The following is a 12,511-nucleotide window of genomic DNA, read 5'->3' on the forward strand; positions in this document are numbered from 1 at the left end:
ATCCGCCCCTGGTGGGCAGCCTCCCCAAGGGATTGATTCCTTCCTCAGCAACAGTTGCTCAGAGTTGAGCACAGGAACTTGCCTTTTTCCAAGTAGCAGACACAGGCCGAGGCACAGAGTGGGGCTGAGGAAATGTGCCGTGAATGGATGGTGAACAGGAAGGGACACTGAAGAAGGAGGCGGTACTGAGAGCAGCCATCTTGGAGCTTGGAAACGGAGACGCATGTGAAGCCGTTTGCACAGTATTTTTCCCTTAAAATATGGGTGGGGAACAAGGGGCTGTCATTTGTCTTTTTCTTTGGGATGGTGAGCAGTGAGCAGGGCACGCCGCGAGGAGCAAACTGCAGCCCAAGCACACGCGGTCAGCACGCGGAGCACAGGTGGGGAGAAGCGGCTGACGGTGGCGTGGCCCCGCGTACCTGGGTGTGGACGCCCCGCCGCCCCGCAGGGGAAAGCTCCTGGAGTCTGGGGTCTGCTGCCCCGAGCTCTGGGTGTCCAGGTAGGAAACAGGTAGAGAGTATCCGGGTTTCCTACCCCTCCGCCGGGGTGGCTGTGCCTCCCCATCCTCCTGCTCCCCTCCTTCCCTCCCTCCGCAGGGGAGGGCAAACCCAACCCCCAGGTGAGGGTCTGTTCTGCGGGAGTGGGAAACAGCTGGCACAGGCTCAGGCGGCAGGTGGTGGCCCTGCTCCTGCTGTGAGAGATGGAAGCCAGGAGGCGGCGGGCGGGCCGTGCTCAGGAGACCCATGCCCCACCCAGCCTGAGACTCTGTCATTCCCTTCCACTGGGCTCCCCATGAGAAGCCCCAAAGCAAAGTGGGTGTGGCTGGTCAGGGTGAGTAGGGCAGGCCGGAACGGACCCGGACCCAGAACGGAGGAGGGTGGTGTGGACCAGGTGGGCCGCGGAAGGCACCTAGCCTAACAGGAGAGGGACAGGCGCACCCCCAGACGGTGGGAAAGCGCCCTCTGCCTCCAGCTGGGCTCGGCCCAGACCCTCCACTTCCCAGCCCCTTGCTTCTCTGTGCCTTGGAGGTTTCAGGGTGGGCTGGTGGGTGGGAGGACATGTGAGAGTTCCTGTGTCAGGAGTTGAAGCCCATCTTGGCCACTTGCCTGCCGGGGCCCTGTAGAAACCCCTGAAGCTATAAACAGGTGCTCGTCAAAGTTGATTCCAGGGGAGGGTGGCAGGAGCAGTGGCGGGTGGTGTGGGAAGAGAAGGACTGCTCTCTAGAGAGCTGATGGCACCAGGCCGTCACCACCGTGGTGACAGCACACACACATCCACACACACATGCACACACGCACGCACACACGTGCACACACGACACATGCACACACATGCAAGCACACATGCACTTGCACGCACACGTACACGCGCACACGCATGCACGCACGCACACGCACATGCATGACACACATGCACACACACATGCCCCACTCCTCTACTGGGACCAGCACAGCCCCTCCGTTCCTGCTCGCCCGGAAGGAGGGCGCCCAGCCAGGTTTCCTCCCCATGAATTGAGCGCCAGAGACCAACAGTGACCTGTGGTGGTTTTTCCAATTCTCTTCCCATTCTGTCAAGGACAGAGGAGATGCTTTGTGATACAAGGGGAAAAAAAGGAAGGTGGAAAGGGAAGAAAGGGAAGGGAGGGAAGTCCCCCCCAGAGCAGCCTGGGGAGGGGTCTGGGACCAGGCCTAGGCCCAGGCACTTCCTGAAGAGATCAGGTGACGGCCTCCCCGGCCTGCAGACCTCAAGGCGGCCCAGGCCTCCTCTGCGCTCCCTACGCGTTGCTCTGGTGCTGACATCCCTGGCTATGCTCTCCATGTAGATGTTCCTTTTAGCCTCTGCCTCAACTGAAATCTGAAGATCAGGCCAATTTCGTGGTCTCTCAGACGTCGGTAAACAAGAGGCCTTGGCTCCTCAGGAGACCGAGAGTCTCTCACTGTACTTCCTTCTCTTGGCTCCAAGGACATAGAACGGTTGCTATGGGGATTCCTTCATTTGTAAAGTAAGTTTTCAGAAAAAATAATGACTCACAAGTCCTTTAAGCAGGAACAAAGTCAATCCTTGGGGACGATATGATCTAATAGGGTTTAAAAGAGGAACTGTGACGGGCTGCAGTTGGCGGGCTTTTCTTCTTTTCCTCTTTGATCCTCACGCGTGGACGAAACCCACCAGTGGCTCAGGTGCCCTGGCACCACCATTTGCTTCTTTGTGACATCTGAGGACAGGTGTTAAAAATAACTTAGAAATGGCTAACTAAGGCCTGACACACTGGCTCACATCTGCAATCCCAGCACTTTGAGAGGCTGAGGTGGGAGAATTACTTGAACCCAGGAGTTTGAGACCAGCCTGAGTAACGTAGTGAAACCTTGTTTCCACAAATAATTAAAACAAAAAAACTAGCCAGGTGTGGTGGTGCATGCCTGTAGTCCCAGCTACTCGGGAGGTTGAGGCTGGAGGATCACTTGAGCCCAGGCGGTTGAGGCTGCAGTAAGCCATGATTGTGCCACTGCACTCTAGCCTGGGAGACAGAATGAGATCTTCTCTTAGAAAAAAAAAGAAAGAAAAAAAGAAAAGAAAAGAAAAGAAAAGGTATGTCTAGCTAGGCTAACCTGGAGAGTTACTGTCAGAGTTTCCAAAAGGGTCTTCATGGCCACTTCTGGGCCTCGCTGGCTGGGTGAAGTTATTAGTCCAAGAGTGCCACATGGCCTTTGCACATTCATCTGTATTATGCCTGGCGAGGCAGAGGGCTTTCCCTGCATTGATTCTCCTGGAAGCCTGGGGTTAGCAGTATAGACTGGAAAGTAAGGTACACAGAGTGGAGGGACTGAACCAGGTCCCCTTATATGTGAGTACATACAGTTACTTAGGCCGGGAAGCCAGGTCTTCTAAGCAGCTAGGGCCAACAGAGCAGGAGCCAGGAGGAATACTTTTATGAACAAACTTATTTTCCAACATCAGAAAAAAGAAAGTTGGCTGTTGGGAGTGACAAGGAGAAAGAATGATGAGGAGCTCAAATCAGGTGGACACCTGATTGAGATGATCCTTCTTTTGTTTAGAAAAGAGTACCACACTGGCTGTCAGCTGTGTGACCTTGAGAAAGTCACTCTCTCTCTCAACTTTCTCATCTGCCAGGTAAAAGGGCTGAGCTTGAATGAGCTTGGGTCCCTTCCAGCAATGATGCTTGTGTACTGCACCTGTGCTAGGAATACCAGTAAGGGGCTCTCCATGCTAAAATCAGCGTTCCAGGATTCCACGTGGCCCACAGCACCAAGCCCAGCCTTCTCAGCTTTGAGCTGAAGGCTCCGGGTAACCTGATCCCAGCCCAACGGTTCTGTGTTATCTCCCTCTCACCATTTCCTGTGGATTACTTATTGTTCTATCCTCCCAGCCGCCAGGGCCTTGTTCGCACCTGCTACCAGCAAAGAATACCCCTCCTACCCCAGTGCCCTGGCCTGAAGACGTCCTGTTAGTCTTTCAGCTGTCAATGAAGATGGCCCCCTTTTCAAGAACCCTTCCTGGAATCCTGAGTTTGGGGGTCGTGATCTTTCCAATCCCGTATCCACGGTCACTGCCTTCACCTGAATGCGATTGCAATTCGCTAGCCCTTCAATTCAACAAATATTCTGGAATGATTAGCGTGTGCTGTGACAATGACAAATTCCGATACGGGAAGACATGAATTAAATGATCACGTTCACCCACGCGTGATTAGAAACAGGGAAGGGTAAAGAAGGAAGAGAAAACGGCTTCCTGAGAGCTTGCCTGGGGTCTGGAAGGATGAACACGGAGCTGGGGGCATGGAAGGGAGCTGTTCCCAGGAGAGTTGAGTGGGCTGGGCTGGCCTCTTGAGGCTGGGAGAGGTAGACGGTGTGTCTTGATCAGAGGAGCCATCTGGGAATCCTTTGAGGGTTTAAAAAGGGGAGTAACAGATCCAATTTTTATTTCAGGACAATCATGCTGGCTGTTAGTGAAGAATGGCCTGGAGCACTGGGTCTCCGCCCCAGCTGCCTGGGAGAAACTGTGTTGAAGGAGCCATACCCCCTGGCCTCCCCTCCAGACTCCAGACAACCCCAGTCAGCTGGCTGGGAGGGAGGCAGAAGAGAAACAGGGGTGCACCTGGGGCTCCTGCAGGGGTCCAGCCAGGAGATGGGGGCAACTTGGACAGGGACGGTGAGAGAGGAATGGGCTCGGGGGGCATTTGGGAGATGAAAAGGGCAAGGCTTGGCCATGAATTCCCATGGGATGAAAGAGAAGGAATTGTCAGGATTGAGTCCCAAGTTTCTAGCTCATGCAAATAAACAAACGGGGCATCCGCTGAGCTCAAGAGCATGGGGAAGGGGTGTTGGAGACTCTCCCGGGGACCCCTGCAGACTTCTGTAACCCCTTTGAGTTCTCGCAGGCAGAGGCCACGGTGGGTGGGGAGCAGGCCTTGGCAGGGTACCCGCCCCCCACCAGGCACCCTCCATCCTAGTAGCCCTTGGGGAGACATACTGTGGCCAGAGGAAGGGTACGGAGAGGTAGAGGAAGCCAACCGGTGTTCCCGGGCAGCCACCATGTGGTCAAAGGACCAGGCAGCTTGTTTGGAAGCGTCTCTGAGGCACAAAGTGCCAGGACCCAGTGCTCCCTGAGCCCTCCCAGCAGGAAAATGAAAACTCAGCAATGGGCTCCCAGGGAGGCGGGACTGGGGGTGCCTTCCATTTATGAGAGGCCCGCAGAGCAATTCCTGCCGCAGGGGTTTCTGATCAGTCAGAACATCTGCCCACGTTGATGTCTTCCAGCCACCTGATGCAGTGGCTTGGGCCTGTGGGTTGGGGGGAGTGGGATCTTAGGCCTGTTTTTTGGGTTAATAAATTTTGTGACCTTGGATGACATGTCACTTATCTCACAGATCCTGGGAAGGGCAGGAGGAGGAGTGAGACCTGGCCTGCCCTCTCCCTAGAGGCTCATCAGCTCCCTGGAGACAGACACGCCCTGGGTAAAGAACAGATCCCACTCAGCCAGGCAGAGTTTCCTGGAGGAGGAGGAGGGAGAGAAAGAGGGCAGGAAGAAGAGGGGAGGGTGCAGAGGGGGAGAAAGAAAGGAGGGGAGGAGGTGAAGAGAAAAGGGAGGAGGAGAAAGGAAAAGGAGAAAACCTGTTTTCTGTCTTTAACTGTCCTTCCCCTCAACTGGGACCCTGTGCTCCTCCTCCTCAGTCAGAACTCCCCCCTCAGGTCCCCCCACTTCACGTCCCTCCACACTTCCTGTCCCTCCCCCACTCATGTCCCTCTCCCCTTATGTCCCTCCCCCTATTGTGTCCCTCCTCCCCTTGTGTCCCTCCTCCCCTTGTGTCCCTCCCCCTCTCAGGTCCCTCCCCCTCCTCATGTCCCTCCCCATCACAGGTCCCTCCCCTCCTCATGTCCCTCCCCATCACAGGTCCCTCCCCTCCTCATGTCCCTCCCCATCTCAGGTCCCTCCCCGCCTCGTGTCTTCCTCCCCCTCAGGTCCCTCCCAACCTCCTATCCCTCCTCAGCTTGTGTTCCCCCACCGCTGTGTCCCTCACCCCCTCATGTCCCTCCCCCCTCAGGTCCCTCCCCCTCTCAGGTCCCTCCTATCCTCGTGTCCCTCCCTCCCTCAGGTCCCTCCCCCACTCAGGTTCCTCCCTCCCTCCTGTCCCTCCCCCGCTCAGGTCCCTCCTCCCCTCACATTCTTCTGTCTTCATTTACAGGCAGGAGAAATTTCAAAGTGTGTTTGTACCACAATTACTTTAAAACTCTAAAGTTGACCTTTAACGGTTTGTGGATGTTTTAATTTTACTTTTACGTGATAACCTGCAATAACTACACAGATGCATGCATTTTTGTGCTTATTTGTAAGTGCTTTCTTTAAAACTGCTTTTTTCTTACATCCTTTCAGTTCCTTTCCCTATGCCTGGAGCCTGGGTACCAGCTATTGAAAACTGCTTTTCTCCTTGTTCATTCAAACATATTCACACATAAAGGTTGTCATTCCTTTTTGTCACTATTTGACAAAAATTGGATCATACCGTATACAATTCTCTGCTATTTGTTTTGCTCACCTAACAATAAATACACTGTGAAAAATACCTTCAGATGAGTAGATATCAATCTTGTTCATTCTTTTTTTTTTTTTTTTTTGAGACAGGGTCTCACTCCCTTGCCCAGGTTGGAGTGCAGTGGTTCAGTCACAGCTCACTGCAGCCTCGCCTCCCAGGCTCAATCGATCCTTTCACCTCAGCCTCTCGAGTAGATGGAACTACAGGCATGCACCACTGAACCTGGCGAATTTTCATATTTTTTTGTAGAGATGGGGTTTTGACATGTTGCCTAGGCTGGTCTTAAATTCCTAAGCTCAAGAGATCCGCCTACTTCAGCCTCCGAAAGTGCTGGGATTACAGGCCTGGGCCACCTTGCCCTGCCTCTTACTCATTTTTTTATTCCAGGTTGCAGGGTTTTATTTCAGCAACACAGAGACAGTCAAGCACAGCCATACAGCAGGGGCATCCACAGCTGCCTCAGGAGGCGGCAGCGGTGGCCTCTTTTGCAGCTTTTCTCTCTTCCAGCATCCTCTGCTTGTGTTTGGCCCGGCACTTCCTGGCAGAATGGTGGGCCCCCAGGTCCTGATAGCGGTCCTGGTAAGCCTTGGCCACCTGGGTGAATGCTCCACTTCCTTGGCCCAGTTCTACCTGTAGTTGTCTTCTTCCCACTACTGACAGGTCTTGAGCCGCTCCTGGATAATATTGACGATTTCTTGATCGACTTTGTAGTCCCTCCTCCACTGCATTTCGGCTTCATATATGCACAGTGTTTCACGTGTCCATGTGAAGACACGTGAGACCACCAAGCAGGCTTTGTGTGAGCAACAAGCCTGTTTATTTCACCTGGGCGCAGGGGGCTGAGTCCTAAAAGAAAGCCAGCAAAGGGTGGTGGATTATCATTAGTTCTTACAGGTTTTGGGATAGGCGGTGGAGTTTGGAGCGATGTTTTGCTGGCAGGGGCTGGATCTCACAAAGTACATTCTCAAGGGTGGGGAGAGAATTGCAAAGAACCTTCTTCAGGGTGGGGGAGATTACAAAGTACATTGATCAGTTAGGGTGGGGCAGAAACAAATCACAATGGTGGAGTGTCATCAGTTAAGGCTATTTTCACTTCTTTTGTGGATCTTTAGTTGCTTCAGGCCATCTGGATGTGTACGTGCCAGTCACAGGGGATATGATGGCTCAGCTTGGGCTCAGAGGCCTGACACACAAGATGTTCTTCTCCTTGCGCTCAGTGATGCCCAGCACGCGGCAGTACTGCCGGTGGTAGTAGTAATACCTGTTCTTTGCGTGCTGCCACTCTATAAACTCTCACGAGGGTCGCCGGTCGGTCCACTAGGAGGTCGAAGGCCTTCATCAGGTAGACGACGGGGTTGGGCAGCCAAGTCTGCGATGACAGTGCTGGCATGTGGCGCGGGGGCGCAGGGTACACATCCTTGTCTCAGCTGTCCCACATGGCAGCAGTGAGCGCGGACTTCGCTCCTGGATGCGCTGCCCTGGCCTCCACCTCGGTCCCGGTCCCTACTGATTCTTTGTAATGGTTGTGTAATATTACATGGTGTGGACTTAATAAAGGACCCCTACGCAGCCAAGAGAGTTTTTTTCCCCAATGGGAAAACAGATTTTTTTTTTTTAATGTTTGAGATTTTAGTGAATTCTTTTTACCTGGCAAGGAGCTGAACTACCTGTACTGTTCAGAAGCCAAGTTCAGCAGTCTTGTATGTGGGATGTCTGTAAAGATTAAGAAAGGGGGCGGGCGTGGTGGTTCATGCCTGTAATCCCAGCACTTTGGGAGGCCGAGGTGGGTGGATCACGAGGTCAGGAGTTCGAGACCAGCCTGGCCAACAAAGGGAAACCCCCGTCTCTACTAAAAATACAAAAACTATCCGTGCGAGGTGGTGGGTGCCTGTAATCCCAGCTACTTGGGAGGCTGAGGCAGGAGAATTGCTTGAACCCGGGAGGTGGAGGCTACAGTAAGCGAAGATCGTGCCACTGCACTCCAGCCTGGCGACAAAGCAAGAGTCTCTCTCAAAAAAAAAAAAAAAAAAAAAAAAAAAAAAAAAGAATAAGAAATGGACTCTGCCCCAAGGAGTCTGTGCTCTTACCAGGGGGCAGAGCCACACGTGGCCATGAGACAGCTGCCCCTGGCAGCTGCACGGAGGAGAGCTTGACCGAGCATGCGGGAGGGAGGGCTTGAGGCTGGCCCGCTGGGAGGGGACAGCTCTGGCAGGAATCCTGGAAGGGCAGGTGTGGAGTCAGACATGATCTGATGTTCTGTGTGGCCAAGGCAGAAGGCCAGGCAGGAAAAACCCGGTTACTAAGAAGATTGGTTGAGCAGCCATCTCCCTCCCACTGACCGCCCCCCAGGAATCTGTATAACTTCAGCTTATTTTCAGCCTTTAGTTTCCCCTCGTTGGAGGTTGAGTGCCTGGTCTCTTGATTTTCTAACTGAAGAAGGGATGAAAGTCTGAGATTTCAATCAAAAGCTTAAGAAAATAATAATCCTTGGTTGCCCCAATTCTTTCCTGAAAATACCTCACACTAAGAGAAATTGCCTTTAAGCCCCTTTTCTTTTCTTTCATGCTTTAAATTTCTTTCTTAATTAAAAAGAGTTGTTTACTTGATGTGGGCTCCAAAGTGCTTATTTATTTTAACGTATCTTGTTTCTTTTTTCCTTATCTTCATGACTTGATAACTCTATAACTCTCTCTTCTTGTGTCTTAAAATGCCGGTCGTGTCTGTCACTGACATGTGATAAGGAACTTCATAATCAGCCCTTTTCTATTCTCACAGAATAGAAGTTGTGTCAATAACAAATGGAAATCACTGAGCTCCAAAATTCAGCTGCCCTAACCTGGCTGCTTGTCCCTATCAGAGATTTTAGAATGTTTTCCCCTTCAGATGAATTTCAGTTTCACTCAATCCTACCAGTGTTTGATGACAACACTCATGGAAAACTAATGGTAAATTAATGTCTGCCTTCCAAAGTACGTGGTTGAGTTCACTGTGTAAAAAAATAATGATAATAATACTAAAGGCAGCCAAACTGCTGATTGGCAGAATTTTTTCCCATCACTTAAGGCATTTGAGTTGCAGTACGCAGTCTGAGAATCCCTCAGAGACACACCACCCAGGGACTTGGATCCTTGATCTCAGAAAGATTGTGATCGAATTAAGTCTGACTCAACAAATAAGGTCGCTGGGAAGAAGTGCTGGCATTAAATTTACCGTTAACGCCAGGGTCAATTTACTAAACAGTCATCGACGTGTGGTTCCACAAGACCTCTGGGTAAATTCCAGAAACTGACTGGGAGGAAGATAGCTTGCGCATGAAGTCACTGAATCCTGGTCAGTGTGACTCTTGATGATCATCTCTCAGTACACCAGAAAGCATTTCCAAAGACAGGACGCCACTTGGCGTGGAAAGCCTTTGGAAGCTATGGAAGGTGACTTCTTAAGTTAAGTCTAGAAACGGGATGGCAGGAGGACAAGAAACTGGGACTCTGGTGCCGGGAGCCTGGAGTCCTCATTCCACTACAGATGTTAACTGGGCTCAGCTATTCAGGTCACTCAGTGGTTCATCTTAGAGTTGTTTCTAGACTAGATATTTATTGCCCTGCATTACAAAGACGGGAAAGTAAGAGTTCTGTCCATCAGCCAGTTGTCAGGCGTAAATGATGTCTTTCCCTCGCTTCCTGCGCCGCAGTTTGCTTATCTGTCAGATGGAGACGCTACTTACTTACTTATCTACTCATCACCTCCAGGACTGTTCACATGAATAAGAAGAGAATATAGATATGCATTTGGCATACAGAGGGAAAAGTTCCACACAAATAGAAAACACTAGCGGAAATAATTTCTAGATTCTTCCTGGTGAAGCTTTTCAACTACTTCCAAAACACATCATTGCTGAGCCTGTGCAAATTCAAATGGCACAACCCGAAGAGTCAGTGGCATGGCCTCTTCTCTGGCCAGAGCCTTGGGGGCCATCAGCCTGCACCTGCCTGTTTGTTCTGCCATTGCCTCATGTTCTCTTCCTCAGACACCGGGGAAGCCAGGATCACAGAGGCACTTGTCAGCTTCCTTCTGAAACAGCCCTCCTCAGCTTCTCTGCTGTGTCTCCCGGGTCTTCTCACAGAATTCTTGGCCGGGAAGCCACCTTCCTTAAAGGAAATCAAGTCTCCCGATTTCCTAGAGCCAGAGTAGCATAGGGGGCAGCTGTGGGGCTTGGAGCCAGACAGAGCCTTATTAATTATCCATGGATCTTGCTGAGCCTTGGTTTCTCATCTGTAAAATGAGGGTAATAAAGCTACTTTCCTGGTCATCTATGAGTTTGAAATAAAAGAATATGGGGGCCAGGTGCAGTGGCTCTTGCCTTTAATCCCAGCACTTTGGGAGGCTGAGGCAGGTGGATTACCTGAGGTCAGGAGTTCAAGACCACCCTGGCCAACATAGTGAAACCCTGTCTCTACTAAAAATACAAAAATTAGCCAAGTGTGGTGGAGGGTGCCTGTAATCCCAGCTACACGGGAGACTGAGTCAGGAGAATCACTTGAACACAGGAGGTGGAGGTTGCAGTGAGCTGAGATGGCGCCACTGCACTTCAACCTCATTGACAGAGCAAGACTCCATCTCAAAATGAAGACAAAAACAAAGAAGAGTATGGGTGAAAGGGCCTGGTGTGTCACGGGAGTTGAATGTGTGTCCTTTTCCTTTTTCCCCTGTTCCTTCCCTGTGCAGCTGCCTACCAGGCACTGTCTCCTCTCTCCTGGGGAGGCGCTGCATTTTTTCCCTGCAAAGGAGGTCCAGAAAGCAGACCCAGCCCAATGTCTGTGCATCTGCCTGGAGAAGGCCTCCTGAGGAGCACACCAACACTCTCCCCTTCCATGTTGGCCTTCTCTGCACTATTCAGGTTCTTGCCTCTTTGGAATTGTGTGTATGTGGAGGGAACATCTGGAGGTGTCACTTAATTTTTCATGTTACATCTGGACCTGTCACATAGCCACAACCGTAACTGTACATGGAGAATCATGTCGTGTGTGCTGTGGACAAGCCAAGAGGTGGCTTTGTGTGCTCTTCTGCCACACAGAAGAGCTGGGTGCTGCCCAGCGCGGGTGCTGGGTGACCCCGGAGGAAAGAGTCATTCCGAGGGCCTGAAGAAGGGAGGAATCGGTGGCTTGTAAGGTGCACTCCCACTTCCTGTGGTTTTCACAGGCGATGACATGAGGACTGGAGATGAAATGAAGCAAAACCTTCTGGGGTCACTTGAGCTATTTCTTTTGAGTCCACGTCTCTGGGATGGCATGGCCTGTCAGCCACACCCGTTTCTCTCCTGTTGGCAGCTCCATTCTGCAGGGGAGCAAGTGTCCAGTCCTGGGAGCACTGGCAGCAGGGATGCTCGGAATGCCCAACCTGTCCTGGGGCCTGCCTTCGCCTCTGCCCCTCAGCTGCCTTGCCATCTCTCTTCCTCCTCTTTATTTTTGTCTGTCCCTATGGCTGTCAGTGGGGTCTTGAGTCACCTATGTCATCATATCAGGAACATTGTGTGTTCCAAAGTGTGCTTGGTGGAACACTTGTTACTTGAAACAGTGCTTTGTAAAATGGATCCTGGGGCTAGCAGCTGGAGATGCCGCATCCTCTATCTCCTTCTCGTGGATTTGCAATTCAGATTCTCTCTATTAACCCTGAAGAATCCCACAATAAATGGTTTAATTTTGCTTAGTAGTTTCGCCCAAACGTTTTTGATCACGGATCCTTTCGTATGAACTCCCAAGAAACACTTATTAGCAGTGTTTGGTGAATCACACTCTGGGTAAAGCGGGCATGAACAACATATTATTCGTAGGAATGCTGTGACGTCAAACTCACCAGTGAAAAATCTGGCATCAGAGGGTTATGGAAAAATGCGTGTGCTTTTTTTTTTTAATACAAATATGACATTGGTGCAGATCAGACGTTCCCACCCCTCTCACCACAAAAAGAACCTTTTTAGTCCTTTCCTCAAGGGATTCCATGTTTTAAAGGCTTTTAACTACCTAACAAACTACAATTTATTGAATAATAATTTATTTCTTTGAGTTTTATTTATCAAAGACATCCAACGGCCAATTAGGGCTTCTGATCAGTCAAGATAACCATAGTTGCCACACTGAGTTGATATGACTCCAGCCCAAAGCAAATAAACTTAATGTTTTATTTAGTCTGGGAACGTCATTGAGGTAAATGTATGGTTTCCTCTGGGCTTTTTGATATCTTGAAAATAGCTTGCAGACCCCCCTTGCTGCCTTCATGGAGTGCAGGATAGGTGGGAAGCAGGACCATGGATGGAAATGCAGAGGACGCACAGCTGTTAGGAGGGCGGGAGGGACGGGGGGAGGGGGTGGTGACTGGGGCTACACCAGGACACTGGATAGTAGAGACTAAGTGGCCACAGCCACTGTGAAGACTGGGGGTCCATGGGTTGGGGTGTCCAGATCC

At 51.2% G+C, this 12,511-nt stretch overlaps 1 long non-coding RNA gene and 1 pseudogene across 1 annotated transcript, besides 1 other annotated feature; one reads left to right on the forward strand and one right to left on the reverse strand.

The window, feature by feature from the left end:
• Positions 1 to 180: 180 nt before the first annotated feature.
• Positions 181 to 6,082, forward strand: LINC01413 (long intergenic non-protein coding RNA 1413). The gene is made up of 5 exons (NR_120337.1): positions 181 to 499; positions 1,836 to 2,002; positions 3,948 to 4,170; positions 4,889 to 4,975; positions 5,893 to 6,082. It is a non-coding gene; the product is annotated as a long intergenic non-protein coding RNA 1413 (long non-coding RNA).
• Positions 4,549 to 5,056: an enhancer, noted in NCBI's record as "H3K4me1 hESC enhancer chr15:57615704-57616211 (GRCh37/hg19 assembly coordinates)". NCBI's record gives its function as "activates a minimal SCP1, AML or CMV promoter by ChIP-STARR-seq in naive H9 embryonic stem cells {active_cell/tissue: H9 hESC(naive)}" and the evidence as "EXISTENCE:reporter gene assay evidence [ECO:0000049][PMID:30033119]".
• On the reverse strand, positions 6,437 to 7,556 carry NDUFB10P1 (NADH:ubiquinone oxidoreductase subunit B10 pseudogene 1; annotated as a pseudogene).

This window comes from Homo sapiens, chromosome 15 (genome assembly GCF_000001405.40).
Source record: "Homo sapiens chromosome 15, GRCh38.p14 Primary Assembly".
NCBI classification, from domain to species: Eukaryota; Metazoa; Chordata; class Mammalia; order Primates; family Hominidae; genus Homo; species Homo sapiens.